This window comes from Homo sapiens, chromosome 6 (genome assembly GCF_000001405.40).
Source record: "Homo sapiens chromosome 6, GRCh38.p14 Primary Assembly".
Lineage (NCBI taxonomy): Eukaryota > Metazoa > Chordata > Mammalia > Primates > Hominidae > Homo > Homo sapiens.
In genome coordinates, this window is record NC_000006.12 from 89639226 (window position 1) to 89657206 (window position 17981).

The 17981-nt window shown below is 41.0% G+C and overlaps 1 protein-coding gene and 1 long non-coding RNA gene across 2 annotated transcripts in view; one reads left to right on the top strand and one right to left on the bottom strand.

Annotated features, from left to right (window-relative positions):
* The window catches only part of MDN1-AS1 (MDN1 antisense RNA 1), a 50950-nt gene that overhangs the window by 694 nt on the left and 32275 nt on the right, over positions 1-17981 (top strand). The gene's annotated exons all lie outside the window — the stretch shown is intronic.
* The window catches only part of MDN1 (midasin AAA ATPase 1), a 177297-nt gene continuing 162588 nt past the window's right edge, over positions 3273-17981 (bottom strand). The window contains exons 91-102 of the mRNA NM_014611.3: positions 17475-17576; positions 16539-16743; positions 14939-15109; positions 13767-13930; positions 12967-13056; positions 11507-11622; positions 10799-10973; positions 9031-9104; positions 8807-8921; positions 7315-7378; positions 5790-5932; positions 3273-4968 (exon numbers count right to left, since the gene is read on the bottom strand). Of these exons, the coding sequence (NP_055426.1) occupies positions 4780-4968; positions 5790-5932; positions 7315-7378; positions 8807-8921; positions 9031-9104; positions 10799-10973; positions 11507-11622; positions 12967-13056; positions 13767-13930; positions 14939-15109; positions 16539-16743; positions 17475-17576 (1608 nt within the window). The 3' untranslated portion in view covers positions 3273-4779. The remainder of the gene's footprint in view (positions 4969-5789; positions 5933-7314; positions 7379-8806; positions 8922-9030; positions 9105-10798; positions 10974-11506; positions 11623-12966; positions 13057-13766; positions 13931-14938; positions 15110-16538; positions 16744-17474; positions 17577-17981) is intronic.

Here is a 17981-nt window from a genome sequence, read left to right on the forward strand (position 1 = left end):
ATGTTCTTTCGAGCCTTTAAAAATGTGTATAGTTGAAAATACTAAAATTGAAAGTGTTAATTTCTTTTACAGTTTGTGTTGGTTTTTTCTCTTTCTCGTTTTTGTCCTGTTCTTTTGTAGCGCAAAGGTTTTCCGGGAGCGGTGGCCTTCATGATCATTTGAAACAAAGCTTTGAATGGCTCACCCACTTCAGTCTTAAGCACTTTTCATCACTAATAACGAGGAGCCTAACATCCCTAAGCCTCAGGCTTTTGCTTTTATTTCCTTATAGTTGTTTTATCTTTCCCACAATACACATGCCTTTGGGTTAAATCACTAGAAGTGGAGTTAGCGAATCTTTGCCATATTAATTTTCCAAGTGGTGTTGTATCGAATTAAAATAGAACGAAAAATGTTCAATTACTAGTTTACTGGGGACTTGCTTGCCTCGCCTGTTAGCATCCTGGGGCTCCCTATTCCTAGCTGTGTTCTGGCTATTTCCCCTCTCCTGGCCTATTACCTCCCCTGTAAAGTGAAATATAGCATCTACCTCAGTTGTGTATCTCTAATGTACTGAGAACAGGTCCTGGCACATGTAAGAACTCTAATCATTAGCTCTTTTGAACTTTACCAGGCATTGTATGAATGATGCTAACTGCATGATCATATTATCAATAATATATGCCAAATTTTGTCTAATACATTAGCTGTAATAGTTAATTGCTAACTTTTTAAAAGGAGTGAAGTTAAATACCCCTCGCCATTTTTAGTTATACTGTTTTTGTGAATTGTTCATGACTTGGGTCCGTTTATGATGAGGACATTTATATGGGCTCTATATTTTTTGTCATTTCTTTATACATACAGAAACTTTATACAATCATGTATTTTTGTGCCTTTTGAGGCTTTTCATTTCCCATTCAGGCCTTTGTAATTCGTTTTTTAAAAACTTTAATTTTTAAAATATTTACTCCATCTAGAATTTACTTTGGTTTACAGCATCACGTGGATCTAAGTTCTTTTCTAGATGTTAAGCTGTATCAATACCATTGATTACATAACTCATTCCTTTTTCGGGGCTTTATGATGGATGCCTTTTTGACTGTATGATAAATTCTTTTAGGGTCTGAGTAATCTGTCCAGAATTGTTTCATTTAGGGTTAAGTTTTTACTTTTTGTTTTATATGTTTTTATTATCTGGCAGGACTCTAGTTTCTTGTAAAAAATCCATTAGTACTGTTCTCTATAATCTTTAGAAATGTTTTGTATCATTTCCCTCCAAATCATCTTGTGATCTTGGTTGGAATTTTGAAGTAGTGTTGAATCTATACATTAATATGTGAGAAAGACATTTTTACATTATTTCTTCTTCCCATCAAGAAACACTCAGGCCAGGTGCGGTGGCTCATGCCTATAATCCCAACACTTTGGGATACCGAGGTGGATCACCTGAGGTCAGGAGTTCGAGACCAGCCTGGCCAACATGGTGAAACCTCGTCTCTACTAAAATACAAAAAATTAGCCGGGCCTGGTGGCGCACGCCTGTGGTCCCAGCTACTTGGGAGGCTCAGGCAGGAGAATCGCTTGAACCTGGGAGACGGAGGTTGCAGTGAGCCGAGATTGCGCCATTGCACTCCAGCCTGGGCAACAAGAGCAAAGCTCTATTTAAAAAAAAAAAAAAAAAAAAAAAAGGGCTCACTCTTGCTAGACACTGGTAATGCTGTCGTGAGTCACATATGCTCCTTGCTCAAAGACTCATGCTTTGGGCAGGAAAACCTCTAAGTTCAATATAGTGCTAACAAAGAATGCTGCAGTTCATACTGTGGGAAATTATTCTTCCTGGAGGGCTTGTCTGAGCTAGGTATTTGTCAGAAACGCAGAATCACTAAGAGGATTCCAGACAACACATGGAAACACTGGCAGGAATGCTGGGAGAGGAGGGACAGGAGAGTCAAGCAAGAGCCTCACAGGTCACATGAAGAAGCTTGAATATTACCCTCTTCACAAGGGAGAGCTTTGAAGGGATTTTCAGCTACAGAACTTTTAGAAAGATCTTGGATGTTGTGAATAGGATGAAGTGAAGCAAGCAAAGAGAAGTTACTGGCCTGGCCAGGATACCATTGAAGTAGTCCCTGCTAGAGATTAAAAGAGTCCCAGTCACAGTGCAGTAGGGGGAGGGGGAGGGATGGGACAGGATATCCAGAAGCCTGACTGGACAAGATGATTAATTAATTTGATTGGGGTATGGATAGAGATGGAGAAGGAAGTAAAGCAGATGTATAGGTTAAGTCCCAAGTTTGTAAACAGGGTGGCTGTTGGAGTGGTCATCCCAGATGGGGAATGTTGAAGGAATGGGTTTGGAATAGGGGAATTAGAACACAGTGACATCCAGCAGATGTCTGAATATAATTAAGAATACCAAAGAGTAGATTTCCTGGACCCCTGGATGGAGAATTTTACAGTCCTTTTGCTTCAGTGATGGTGGAGGCCACGGGAGTGGTGAAGAAGTTATCCAAAGTGAGATTTTATTGTTGTTGTTGAGATAGAGTCTTGCTCTGTTGCCCAGGCTGGAGTGCAGTGGCACAATCTCAGTTCACTGCAACCTCCACCTCCTGGTTCAAGCAGTTCTCCTGCCTCAGCCTCCCAAGTAGCTTGGGATTACAGGTGCGCGTCACCACACCCAGCTAATTTTCTGTATTTTTAGTAGAGATGGGGTTTCACCATATGGGCCAGCCTGGTCTCAAACTAACTCCTAACCTTAAGTGATCCACCCACCTTGGCCTCCCAAAGTGCTGGGATTATAGGCGTGAGCCACTGCACCCAGCCCCAAAGTGAGATTTTTAAGACAGCATGGAGGACTTTTGTGTTCTGCTGTCCATTCCTTAAATATCAGAACTTACTTACTTACCTATTTGGCCAAGGCCTGGGGGGTTGGGGGAGGGGGGGGTGGGCAGGATAGCACAAATGTCAACTATCAACATGGCAGATTAATTGATCACTACTCCTGCAAGCCCCTGTTGGCAGCACAAGTTGAAAATGGCACTCTTGGGTTCCTGCTTCCTGGAATTCCTACTGTCCATGATCTCATGAGCTAACCCAGGGCCAAGGGAATCACTCTGGGCACACCAGTTTGAGGTCTAAGAAAGATGGAGCTTCCAAAGGCAGATGTAATAGACTGCAGCATTGTCATAATATTGGTGTCTTTCCCTCCCAGACTCAACCCTACTGGAAGATTAAACTCCCTGCCCCATAGAGGGCTTTAGCCAATGAAATGTGAGTGGGATGCAACATCATCATTTATGGAGGATAATTAATTTTTATAAGCCTCCTTATAAGGCTACACCAACTCATCCTTTTCATTCTGCTGCAAAGCCAGCATATTATAGCTCAGCCTACCATGGACATAAATGCAAATGATAACCTTTGTAGTAAGAGCAACATGGAAGTAGGAGGGGATCATGTTAGCACAGCATCAACTAGTAACAGCTGACTGACTGATCCAGCAGAGAAGATCAGTCCCCTAGCATACCTTTTACAATCCTGTCATCTTCCATTAAGAAGAGTCACAAATTACATCAACAACAGTGGTATATGTTTTAATAGTTTTCAGAATATAAGCTGCATAGCTTTTTAGAATAAAAAATGATATAACTTCAGGTACATGCTTTGGGACACTTGGTTAAACAAGGAATCTGTGTCTTTGATGACCACCTCAAAAGGGTCGCAGACTTCACAGTGTAACTTGGAAACAGACAAGGAGATAGATGATTACATCATGACATACTGCCTACAAAAGAACATTCTGACAGAACATTAAGTAGAACAGAGCACACAGTTTCAAGTATTCAGCACTGCTTTCTGGCCAAGTAAAAACTGCCTAAAGATCAGTTTCTTTCGACTGGAAAAAATAGATGGAGCTGCTGAGTTCTGGACACAGCGTTTCTTTCCCAGAATGAGACTGGCTCAGTCCAGCTTGAAAGCAGTGTGAGGAATCACTCTTCCCCTTGACTGTTAAGAAAAAAAAAAATGAACTAAACAAATAAATTACTACAACAACAGGGACCATGGCACTGAATGAAATAAAGGGGCAATCACCTTCCCATCATTGCATAGTCTCCCGAAGCAGCAAGTGTGAAAGAGGATACTGAAAAGCCACTTCATTTTTACACAGCCCAAGGATCGTTTTTATAGATGACCTGGGCACCTATAATGTCCAGTTGCTTTATGAGAACACACACACACCACATTCTTCCTACCCTCTAAGAGAAGGTAGTTCCTTTCACAATAAGAAAACACACCCTCATACTCTCCAGAAACGAGCTGTCTTGGCCACTTGACAGCTTTTGGGCACACACTATGGGCTTGGCAAGGCAGAGCTTAGAACAGGGTCAAAAGGGCAGCTCCCTTTAGTCCTTTATACAAAGGACTGTCAGAGTCCCATGCTCCTGGCAGCATCTCCTCAAGGCACAGGTGCCCAGATCCCCTGCAAAAGAAAACAGGCAGCTGGGCTCCAACGGTGGGGTATGACCTCCTCCCAGGCCAGGGCTTCCAAGGCAGGGAAGAAGGATAACTCTTCTCTAGTTACGAGTTCAGGCACCTGCTGCTGCTTCCAGGTTTGGTATAAAAACCTCAGCCCAGGCAAAGCCGGGAGCCAGAGAGCATTCTGTAGGCTGTAAGATCACGTTGTAAAATAAAAATATTACAATAAAATTTTTTGTAGTTGTCCAAAAGGGAGCACCTGGGTAAGCAATGTGACCTTCTGACCACAGTTAAGTCTCACTTTGGACTCTTCTTTCTGTTCTATGGGTGGTCAGAGGCTGTCACCAACTCAAACCACTGTCTGAGGGCATCGCTGAGTGTCTCAGGAAGTGCGTTTACATCTCGAAGAATGATATAGTATGGGAATGGGAACTCTTCCATGTAGGATCGGATTTCAGGCATCTCTCCAGGTCCTTTAAATATCGGTACTTTAATGTCCAAGATAGAATCCTGTCAACAAAAGACATTTTGAAATGGGGAGGCAGCGATTAAACCAGCATCCTTAGCTAGCTCTTCTGTGATCTCTTTTGCTAACTTTTACATCTCCTGTGTCTTATTCCTGCATATGAACCTACCTTTTATTACTAAGTAAAAGAGAATTTTCAGAACTCTACTAAGAAGGAGGTAGATGTCTTTCTGAGTGCCCCTTCCAGGAGGATGGACACTGAAAAAAAGGAAAAGGGATAGACAGGAAAATCTGCTTTCCCTACAGTGGTGTCTCCCCATCATCCACTTGGAATCATTCACACTAAATCTTTACCTTCCTATCAAGGCCTTAATGTGACCCACAGAGACAATGCTTCCCTGGAACAGAACTGCCCTATAGGCATATTTCACTAAGATGATTGATGCTTCTTGCTGTGAGGAGCTACTGAGACATAAGTTAAGTGTGGCAACACCTAATCTCCATTTCAAAGTGGTCAGTACCCATTATCAAGGCTGCAATACCTGCACTGACTTTGCATAGAGGGAAATGATGACCCACAGAGGATGGTCATTCTGAATCTTGGCTCTCCCACTCATTACCTATAACCTCTATGTGTTTCAGTTCCTTCAGTGTAAAGTGGGAATAATGATCCCTACCTCACTGGCTTATTGCAAAGATTAATAGAGAAAATACTTACAAGTGCCTACAATGGTACTTGACAGAATACTATGAATGCTGGGAGTTCTCAGTATGACTGAGTGATCCAGGCCATATTTCAGATTGAACAGGTTGAAGGGAATCCCCACTTTACCTCCAGAAAAGGTGGCTTTTAGTAGTCACTCACCCGTGAACTGGGATTGTCCAATACAACAAAGATGACAAAGATATTTGCATTCCGGGCAGCCTGAACTGCTGCCAGGACTCTTTCTTTGCCCTCAAGGAAAAGGCCTCGCCCATCAGAGACTACCAGGAGGAGTTGTGCAGTTTCTGTAGACCATATAAGACGAAGCAAGGGAATAAAATGAACAGCCATTTTTAATAACTCACAACTACCCAAAGTAGGACAAATTAGTGTAGGCTTTCTCTGTACTATTAAAGCTAAACAGACCTCTAAAGCTGATGAATTCTGGGCACAAACCTAAGGGACCTCTGATGAGATCTATCCCTTAGAATGCTTGAGTCAGAGACAAGGCATAATAAGGGATACTAAGTAAGCTTCTGTCAGTATAGAAGAATTTCTCAATAGTGCTTCAAGAAATGTTAAGTTCTGCTCAACTTCAAATTGTAGAGCAACATACTGTACATGAGAATTAAAACACTAGTTTATGGCTATAAACTTTAAAAATGATAGTACTGAGAAGGGCATTAGAAGAAAGTGGCCAAATCAGAAATCTGGAACTGTGTCTTCCAAATTTCAGTCGTTACATATAATCATCTTTAGATTTCTGTTAATTCCTTGTACCTAATTTCTATATTTTTTTGCCCTTGAAATTTGACTTGTTTAAACAAAAACAAATAGAAAGGAAACACTCAACACTGAATAAAATGTTTTAAAATTTTTGCTACATAGTGTTTCCAGCTAAAGATTATATAGTACATGAGTTGAGGGTGGGCTGTTTTAGCAAATGTTGACAGGTGTGAATAACTTGCTTCCATCAAAATCTGAAGCTTCTGCATGATACACTGAGAACAGTGAGAGATTTTTGGAAAAGAACTAAATAATTGGCATGTTTCAAGCCCCCAAAGTAAATGTGGTTGGATTAGCTGGTTTTTATATTATGTCCTTCTCTACTTTCCTCTGTTATTAAAATATTAGAGAATACAGTACTTGCAGGGGGCTGGTTTCAGGACACACACCCCCTCACCCCCAGTATACCAGAATACACACATATTCAAGTCCAGAGATGGCCCTGGAGAACCCGCATACATGAAAAGTTGGCCCTCCATATACTCGGGTTTTGCATCCCTCAAATGCTGAATTTTCAATCCACTTTTGGTTGGAAAAACTCCATGTGTAAGTAGACCTGATCTGTACAGACAAACCTGTGGTATTCAAGGGTTAATTGTAGCCTTTATATTTAATTCCACACACACCTTGCTCCTTTCTCTTATAAATCTGAACTCAAGTAAGTATATACTAGTTAGTGTCTAGATCCCCCATTGATTATAAGCCTCATGAGTACAGGTTCAACAAAAATTTCTGAATGAATGAATAAATAAGTAAAAATCAGCTCCATCAATTTATGTCTTTTCCTGTGGAGCATACCTATTAAAACACAGTGACGGGGACACTGAGCTGAAGCAAGCAGCTTGGGAATATAGAGTACAAGAAAGCATTTTGTTAATGAAGAGGAAGGCATGCAGCTCACCTGAACTGATGTTCTGCGAGAGCTGCTGAGCAGCTGCAAACATGTTGGCAACAGACTCTAGAAACTAAACCGGAACCAGGAATAGACAATTAGAAAACTATGTGAATGCTCTTCTCATTGTCAAAGAGACTGATAGTATTTCTGACATTGAAGTGATTATCAGATAACCACCTCAGGTTTACAGACCATCAACTAACTGTCCCTTCTGGCCGTATGTAGTTAAAAAAGGAGGATCCTTGGATACAGACATTCTGTTTTTTAATTATTATTTTTTGAGAGAGGGTCTCACTGTGTCACCCAGGCTGGAGTGTAGTGGCACGATCTCATCTCACTGCAGCCTCGATTCCTGGGCTCTGCCTCAGCCTGCCGCCAAGTAACTAGCACTACAGGTATGTGCCACCACACCTGGATAATTATTTTTGTCTTTTGTAGAAATGAGGTCTCACTATGTTGACAAGGCTGGTTTTGAACACCTGGCCTCAAGCGGTCCTCACACCTCAACCTCCCAAAGTGCTGGGATTACAAGTGTGAGCCACCATGCCTAGATGATACAGGCATTCTCAAGCACAGGTGAGACGTTTCTCTAACATATAACCCACTAGAGTTCTGGAAGATACCCCAAAGGAAAAGAAGTGCTTCCCTGGGGCATAAGAAATCAATACTCCCTCAAATAAACCAAACAGCTGTCTTCTTTCAAGAACAGAAAACAACTGAGCAAAAGAGAAGGCAAGAAAATACAAAATGTCCAGGGCAGCCTAGAAAAAGCAAACTGAATCAGAGCAGGACCCAGGAGAAATATGATCCCATGCTGTTTTGAACTTTTGTTCTCTTAAGTAAGTCACTGGCTTTACTTCATATCATTTCTTCTCTAAGCTTAATGAGGGAGAAAAATAGGTCTTGGCCCAGCTGATAAGGGTATGGGAGATGGGTTTGTTTTTGCAGAATGTTCCAAACTACTCGGAAAAAAAAGTAGGGAGCTAGAAAACCAATGATGCAAAGTCAAGTGATCCTTGAGGAACTGAGAAAAAGAAGTCACACCTTGTTTTATAATGGATGCTAAGGAAGCTTCTATTCCAGTGGTACACAGGCTGAGGTTTGGGACTATCCCTGTCCTAATACTGTATGCGGTGGAGGGTGGTTCTCAGCCCAGCATGGTGGTAATCCCAACACTTCGGGAGGCCAAGAAGGGAGGATCACTTGAACCCAGGAATTTTAGACCAGCCTGGGCAACAAAGTGAGACCCTGTCCCTACAAAAAATAAAAATTAGCCAGACATGGTAGCATGCGCCTGTAGTCCTAGCTACTAGGGAGGCTGAGGCAGGAGGACTGCTTGAGCCCGGGAGTTCGAAGCTATAGTGAGCTATGATGGCGCCATTGTACTCTAGCCTGGGTGACAGAACAAGGTCCTGTCTCAAAAATAAAAATGTTCTCCCTCCAACCTACACCAGTTTAAAAATAACTGTGCAGAAGACATTTTATTTCATCCTCTTACCTGAGCAATCTTGGTTTTCTTTTGTTGGAATTTGCAGAGACGTAGAATCTGGGACCCAGAGTAATCACTGAACTGCTCATGAAATGGGTGTAACAGCTTTACAGATTCTCCAAAACTTGGGGGAGGAAAACCAAATACAACAGGAGTTATTTTTTGGCTGTGTGATCAAAATAACCAAACAGGTTGTGAAAAGTTTTCATAAAGGAATTACAAAGCAACCTTACCTACACACTGCAATCTGACCCACTTCCAGGAGGGTTAGAGCATTTCCAATCACAGCCAAAGATTCAAATGCAAGCTGTGAATTAGAAAGTTAATGATTTTAGGAATCAGAATATCCTCTAAACCAGAGCCTCTCAACTATTTTTTGCATCAAGATTCCCAAAGAAAACATTTTTTTGTTTGGCAAGTAGAGGAATAACATCAGTAAGGCTACTATAGTCACAACAAACCCAAAGGCTTTGGTGGCCTGGTACCACAAATGTTGAAACCTAGAATCCATTACACTGATAGGAATGGTCTGCTGTAGACATCGAATAAAAAGTGACCTTGAGGGCCAGGCGTGGTAGCTCACACCTGTAATCCCAGCACTTTGGGAGGCCAAGGAGGGAGGATCACTTGAGTCCAGGAATTCAAGAGTAGCCCAGGCAACACAGCAAGACCCCACATCTGTGGTCCCAGCTACTTGGGAGGCTGAGGTAGGAGGATCACCTGAGCCCAGGAAAGTTGAGGCTACAGTGAGCCACCTGGGCAACAGAGTGAAACCCTGTAACCCTGTCTTCAAAAAAAAAAAAAAAAACAATTTAGCCGGGCATGGTGACACACACCTATGGTCCCAGCTACTCAGGAGGCTGAAGTGGGAGGACTGTACTGCTTAAGCCCAGAAGGTTGAGGCCACAGTGAGCTATGATCATGCCACTGCACTCCAGCCTAAGCAACAGAGCAAGACCCTGTCTTTAAAAAAAAAAAAAAAAAGAAAGAAAGTGACCTTGAGAAATATGGTCCATGAATTTTTCTTTCTTCTTTTTTGGACCTACATGAAGAGTAACCTCTTGTAGGTAAAAAATTTTAAAAACCAATTTAAAATCCATTCATATATATGTAGTCAGATCAGACTGTAGAACTATATCAGAAAATTTCATTACCATTTGCAATATGACAAAAGCAGCAGCAAACTGAGTGTTCTACATCTATTATTTCATTTAATCTTCATAACAATTCTGCAAGTATGAGGTTATTACTATTCTATGTGTGCTTGTAAATATATATATTCCTCACTTTTCAGAAGGTGAAACTGATAACTAAGAAATAAGTTGCCCAAAGTCATGTGTTAATAAATGGAGCTGGGATATGAACCCAGGTTCAGAGGCTACACTAACTTTTTCCAGCAGAACATACAAATTTTAGGTTGCTTATTAGCCCATGCTGTATAACAGCATCACTGCCCAAAACAAACACTCTTTGGCATCTGTAATGGTGGTATAAGTAATTCTATTAAGGCTCCTAAACTTAATATTAGCACTGATAGAACAATAACTCTGGATAATTTCAGATATAAAAGAAATGTATCCTAGATACCTACCTAAACTATCTAAGACTATGCAGTAATATCTGAAAACTTTGATTTTTTTTTTAAGAGTACACTGTTGCATTTTCTGCAAAACAAGCACTATCAGATTTACTTATTCTGCAACTAGACAGTTAAGAACAAACAGCAAGGTCAAGAAACAAAACAATGTAAAAGACCTACAACAGTAAGAAACTAACACATCTGAGACATCCTAAAATTGCCCTTTTGAACTCTTTAAATCTTAGGTCTTATCAAAGATGGTTATCACATTCTCAAAACAGGCCTAACAGGTATTTCAAAATGTTTTAGCCATATCATATTTAAAGCATTAGCCATATCATATTTAAAGCATTTTGGTGGCCCATGGAACATAGCTTGATGTTAATTTCCTATCAAACTGCCACTGCATTTCTCTTCCTTACCTGCTTGGTATGATTGTCTACCATACTAGAAGAGTCATCGATAGCCAAACAAATCTGATACTGGCGTTTACTGGGCTTGGTCCTTCGAAGCCAAATCTTGTCTTTCCGAAATTGACTAGCAATGTATGGAATGACTTTCCGTATGTTTAGTCGTTTCCCAGTTCGATAGTCTCCTCTATTTATTCAAATGGGGGCAAAAATTAGTTAACAACTTTTAATTCCTGAGAATTTTTATTAAGGACAAAAATCACAATAATACCTTAAAACCAATAGCAAGTAACTAGGAACCTGGCACAATGAAGTGTTTCTGTCAATTGACGACTAAGGATCTTCTTGACCTCTAGCCAGAAAAACTGGACACGTATGTGGCAATAATAATTAGGTCCTTCCAGACACATTTTTAAAAATTAGGAAAAAATGCACTAAATAGGAATGATTTTGGACATCTTTGAAAAGATCTAGGTGAGTAACACCTATAGCAAGTGAATAGCTCAACATGTAACAAGGTGATCAATACAGACACCCAGAAACTTTTGTGCAGAGACAATAATAGGAAAACAGGGTAAGGAACAGCATACTGGTGCCTGTACGGCACAAGCGGCAGCCTAGAAGCTGGCACTATAAATGGTTAGGTGCCGCGTTCAACAGAATCAATGAAGCTGCCGTCTTCTCAGGGCACTGTGAGGCCTTCCAGAGGGGAAGACTTACTTCAGCTTGGCTGCCTGGGTAGGCTCTAATATGAGACGAAGCTCTTCACATAACCGTTGTGAAAGAGGCGCTGTTAAGATCAGGTAACTCTGCCACATCTCAGCTGCAACCTTCTCCTGTGACAACAACAAAATGTAAGTTACCCTCAGAATGTCAGAGCCAACCAAGTCTTCTAGCAAGATGCAGGCTTTAAGCAAAGTGGTAGAAAATGACCTGCATGAACTTTCTCAACAGAAGCACTTTAAATCTTCTCCCAGCAAGCTACCATGTAATTTACTTGATTAAAAATGTCTCTCCTTCCAGCTGAGGGTGGTGGCTAATGCCTGGTAATCCCAGCACTTTGGGAGGCCGAGGCGGGTGGATCACTTGAGACCAGGAGTTCGAGACCAGCCTGGCCGACATGGTGAAACCCTGTCTCTACAAAAAAAAAAAAAATACAGAAAATTAGCTGGGCATGGGGGCAGGCACCTGTAATCCCAGCTACTCAGGAGGCTGAGGCAGGAGAATCGCTTGAACCCAGGAGGCGGAGGTTGCAGTGGGTCAAGATCGCGCCACAGCACTCCAGCCTGGGTGACAGAGCGAGATTCCGTCTCAAAAAAAAAAAAAAAAAAAAGAAAAAGAAAAAAGTTGGCCCGTAATCAGCACTTTGGGAGGCCAAGGCGGGTGGATCACCTGAAGTTTGAGACCAGCCTGGCCAACATGGTGAAACCCCGTCTCTACTAAAATACAAAAAAATTAGTCGGGCGTGGTGGCAAGTGCCTGTAATCCCAGCTACTTGGGAGGCTGAGGCACGAGAATCACTTGAACCCGGGAGGCAGAGCTTGCAGTGAGCCGAGATTGCGCCACTGCACTCCAGCCGGGGCAAGAGAGCAAGACTCCATCTCAAAAAAATGAAAAAAAGTAAAAATGCTAAGGGCAAATCCCTCCAGCAACACACTCAACACAAAGCCCCATGATTTTTCTGCCAACTATGGCAGAGCACTGAATACATATATGTGGTGGGAGTGATTATGACAATAGATATAAAAGTGAAATGTGTATATAATACAGTAAATTTCAGATGCAAAGTCATTAAAAATAAGACTGCTGGTTAATCCACACTACCACGTTAAGTCAGCCAGCAGTGATCTAGCTGGCCTCTTCTTAGGATGGCACAGCATAGACTCTTGCCCGGTTTTTCAACCACTGTCACAACTATTAACATCCATTACAGAGCCAGCAACAGAAATTAAAGGAATTAAGCACACCAATTTCTGTTTTAATTAAGCTATAGATCTAACAGCAAAGCAGCCAGAAACTGATGGACAGATCTGTAGGCTTTAGGATTGTAATTATATTCTCCATATGCCTGGTCCTTTTTGTTAAGGTAATTGCTAAGAACCTATTAAGTTTGCTATATGTTGAACAAACAAAAAAAAAGTCGAGATATTTTATGAAAAAAACAGTGAGCAGTGACTTACCTCCTCTGGGTTTCCAGATTCACGTGGCTGCCACATTTCCAGCTGTCTCTCCAGCTCCTGTCTTAGCTCATTGACATCTTTTAAAAAGGGCTAAAAAGAAAAAGCCATAGATAAGAGGTGGCCCAGGTTGGAATCACCAACTTAGTATCACTGGGTGTCTTCCGCCCTACAGTATGAACTCAAAGTACATAGTCAAATGCTCCTGAGATTCAAAACTTAATTCAGCAAATACAGTGGCACAATGAGAAGATGCCAGACAAGCATTCTGCTTCCCTCTTAGAGAGACAATATGGATAAAGAAAACTTTAAACATTTATAAAGCCACTGTAGCAAAACAAAACCCAAACACCCTTAAGTCATCAATAATGAAAATGTTATCTGATTAATCAAATAAGTCAAACTCTTAGCTCAAGAACTTAATTAAATAGCTCTTCATAAATACAGGCACTAAGCCAAAGATTTTTTACTTAACCATCACAAACCTAATTGTCCTGAAGATTCCTTACACAAGGATGGTTAGAAAAGTGGGATGTGAGTCCCAGAGGCCAAGGACCAGACCCACCATCACAGACAGGTCAGGGCACTGTGACCCTGTGATTAATTGCTGGAACAGTATCACGTGCTTGAAGAACACCTATCATACCAATAGTATTCCTAAAAATTTTGAATAAGAACATGAAACCCCTCAACAACCAGATGTTCCATAAAGTTCTAAAGACAAAGATTTAAAACCAGTTTAAAATTTTATTTTGTTAATTTATTAACACTATATTAATGCAGTAATTTGTGAGTTTTACTACCTGGAAGATCGTGTCCATGAGGAATTGATGAGCTGTATGAATGGTAGACTCTCGGCTTCTTTCTGGTTTCTCATTTTCTGTCTCCTTATGGGCTTTGTCTGTTCTGGGGTCTTGGTCTTCCTCTGTTTTAACAGTTTGGATCTCCACTTCCATCTCATCAAAGCCTATTTTCATTTAAGGACATAATTTTACTTATAATATTAGCCTGATGACTGACCAAGCCTTTGCTATTGCCTGTTAATCCTGAAAATTAATCAAACTTCATTCATTCACTCTCCAACACATTTCCACATGTTGATTTCAGAGGTTCTTTCTCTCTGAGACACTCATTGCCAACCCTTACTCTCTAAACTCCCCTCCTCCTCACCTGATGTTGAAGGCAGATGTTCTTGGAAAGGGAAATAGGGGAAATTTTGGGTTGTCCTAAGAAGCCTTGTAAAACTGTATGATTCTTGAAACTATATGCATGTAAAACTTTGACAGAAATAAAAACTAAAAGCCACAATTCCATTTTACAGAAGAGGAAACAGGCAAAGAAAAGATCAATAATTTGCTTCAACTTGTGAGGTGAGAGGCAAAGCCTGGCTTGTCACATAGGATAGTCAACCGTTCTAACAGTTCTAACGCTCCTGAGAGGACAGGAACTAAGCAGAAGAAAAAGCCTCTGAATTTGGCAAGTTCTTTTGAATTTGCATTTATTCCATTGCTGATGAAGCTATTTTTTTTGCCAAGTAATTAATAGAACTTGGTTAGCTATGAAAGGGAAACTCCTCATTCTATTTCTTTTAATATTTTACTGCATTTTATGCTAATAGCATATACTTTTATATAATTGAAAATATCATTTCTCTAATACTATACCTTTTCATCATAGCTGTAGTAAGTGTACTATTCTGGTTTCTTCTACATATTTTTTAAAAACTGATGAGATTTTGCCAGAAATTCAAGTTTCAGGGGACTCCTTAAAGGATGGTGTCCTGCAACACCCACCGCTGTCCATATTTTTGTTTTCTGGTCCCAAACAAAATATAGTGAAATTATTATAGGCAATTCATTCATCTAAGCCATGGATTAGGACATGGAACTGAACACCAGACTAGATTATAGTGAGAGAGAACTGACTACTTCAAGTCAGAGCGCCTGGGAAGGGTTTGTTCACTAGCAGGACTCACCCAAGGGTGCTGTGGTGCCCGACTTGATTTCCTCTGGCTTCAGCTGCTCCACGTCTGCTGCTTTGAACTCCTCCTGCTCCTCTGTGTCCATAAGGGTGTCCTCTATCTCCTCCTCTTCCTGATCTTTGCCAGAGTCTTTTGCAGACTGTTGCTGTTCTTTGCTGGCCACATCTGTCAACAAAGCACGCACCCACACATAAAAATCCTAGGTCTTTGCAGAACAAAATAATAATAAGTGGGTATGGTTTCTGTCATTCTAGCTTCCAAAATGCTAGTGATGCAAGTTGTGCCACTGACCAGCTATGTGGCTTGGAGACTTGTCTGTGCACAAGATTTCCTATTGACCTATTGACATAATGAACTGCCTGTTCCCTACCCCCTACAGAAATTATGAGGATATAATGTAACTATACATGTGACACTGGCTGCCTTCCGCCCTACAGTATGAACTCAAAGTACACCGTCAAATGCTCCTGAGCATTTGACAAAATAGGGTGTTTAACTGGGCTATAGGGTGACTCTAACAATAATTTATTATATATTTTCAAATGACTAGAAGAGCAGATTTGAATGTTCCCAACACAAAGAAATGATAAATGTTTGAGGTGGTAGATAAGCTAATTATCTTGACTTGATCATTAAACATTGTATACATGTATCAAAACCTCACACTGTACCCCACAAATACATATCATTATTATAGGTCAATTAAAAATAATAAAAAGTAGTAGAAAACAAGGCACAGAAAGACGAATAGGAATCCCAGCATTGTGATCTTGCGTGAGTGAGTTCTTAAACCACCTGGCCTCAGTGTACTTAACTATACAACAGAGAGACTCTAGCTCATAGGATTAGTTGAGGAAGTTTATGATCACGCAGCAAAGGCTCAGAAAAGTTTTTTGGCACAAAGCAAAAGCTCAATACATGGTAGCTACTGCTCTATTTTTTTTTTTAAGTGGGATCAAGGAGAGAAAAATGTAATCCAATGTAGAGCAGTCATTTTCGTACCATCCTAAATGGTAGATTATTCTCAATATAAGTTTACATATTAGGAATGAAACTGAAGTCACCAAGAGAACCAGAAGGGGAGACTGACCAATGACCTCATGCTGAGACATTTTTCCTCCCTTTTGCACTTATGGAGAAAACACATATTTCAAATTCATAGCACCTGTCAGTGCAGGGACCTATCCAGAGGTGACTAAGAAGAAAGAAATGTCCAGTACTAAGAAACCCTGATATCGGGGTTTGGATGTGAACAACTTATTTTTAACTATTATATTTAAGGATATTTAAAGAGTTTATACTAAACCAAGAAATCTTAACCATCTTCACTTGGTTACAGATACCTTTGTACCAAAAACAAACTGTATTTCTGCACATTTCTTATGTTTACAAAGCCATTTCCTCTCTCCCCTGATATAAGTGTATACAATCAGCTGCCAGGCACAGCTGACTTGACTTGATCATTAAACATTGTATACATGTATCAAAACCTCACACTGTACCCCACAAATACGTATCATTATTATAGGTCACATAGCACAAGCTCTCATAGAGAGCTCAGTGGGCAAAGGCAGCAGCTTTCCCAGGACCGTACCATAGGTCTGTGCATCGTATGCGTCACTGCCTTGTTTAATGTGCTCGAATGCATCTGCATCCTCCACCTGGGCCTGGGGCTGCTGAGCTGGCCCCTGCTCGGCATGGCTGTCCGTATCCACAGTCCTCAGCCTCTTGTGCACACGCTCATTGTGATCACCCATGGAACGTTCATTGTCAGCCTGCCCAGGTTTCCTCTTAAAACTCTGAGAAATACAAGGAAATTCATCAGAGCCTTGCCTGTCATGACAAAAGGACTCAAAGTAAACATAATATCCATCTATAGGGGACAGGATAAGTAAATCAGGTGTAGCCATACAAGAATGGAATTCAATACAGCTATTAAAAAGAACCGGGACTCTATATACTTACATAGAACAATCTCTATGATATACTTTTATATCTAAAATGAAGGCAAAGAAACACACTTTCACACATCCATATATGTCATATATGCAGAAAATATCTCTGAAAGAAGGAATTGGTAACACCAATTTGCTCTGAGGAGGGTCCCTTGGGGACAGGAATAGGATGTAGGCTTTTAGGGGATTGGTTTTTTACACTAATTTTGCATCACGTGCATAAATTATACCCTACTTAAAAAAAAACTTACTCTTAAAAAAGCAAAAGCCTATGGACAATGAAAAGAGTGAGACGGTTTGTGCTGGGCAGCCGCACACAGCACTTGGCTCTTAAGACTTCATGGCCGGAATCAGGGGTCGGGGAGAGACACAGGCAGGGAAGAAGCCGTGACGGGATCCCACTGGGTAAACCCCATGGTCGTGGTCTGCTCACCAAGGCTGCTATCATATCTGATGCAACAACAACAAAAAAACCAGGAGTATAGCTTTTTTTTTTTTTTTTTAAAGCACTACGTTTGGAACATCTTTTTCTACATGCTGCCTTCACCTAAGTTTAGCTGAGGAGTGATAGAAACCTGTGTGTTTTTCCTGGTGTGCTTCTGGGAGGCCAACTGGGCAATGAAATTCGATTCATGGCCTTCTGCCTGGTTTGCATCTGCAGCTCCACTTCCGTGTTCCTAGGAAATCCAAGCCACAAAAGAATGAGGTGAAAGAAGCTATTACAAGTCCCTGGTTACTGTGCTGCATTGAATACAACTTCTCTCACTGCTGTCCTTTATTCTCAGTCATATAATCACTCCTGCCTACCTGCCTGCCCTGGAACTCACCGTAACTAAGGCCTGGCCTACAGGCAGAAACAGGAGTGTCTAGGTACAGACCTTATGTTAACCTCTCAGGGGCCTTTGTAAGGCTGCTTAGTTCTTTGCAGGAATATTATGTCTCACTCCAAAGACAGGACAGACCTCAATTAGAAACCAGGCTTCATCATCAACCAGCTATGTACACTTGAGGTTGTCATTTAACTTTACTGAGGCTTATTTTTCTCAAATATACAATGAAGAAAATAGTACAATATCATCTAT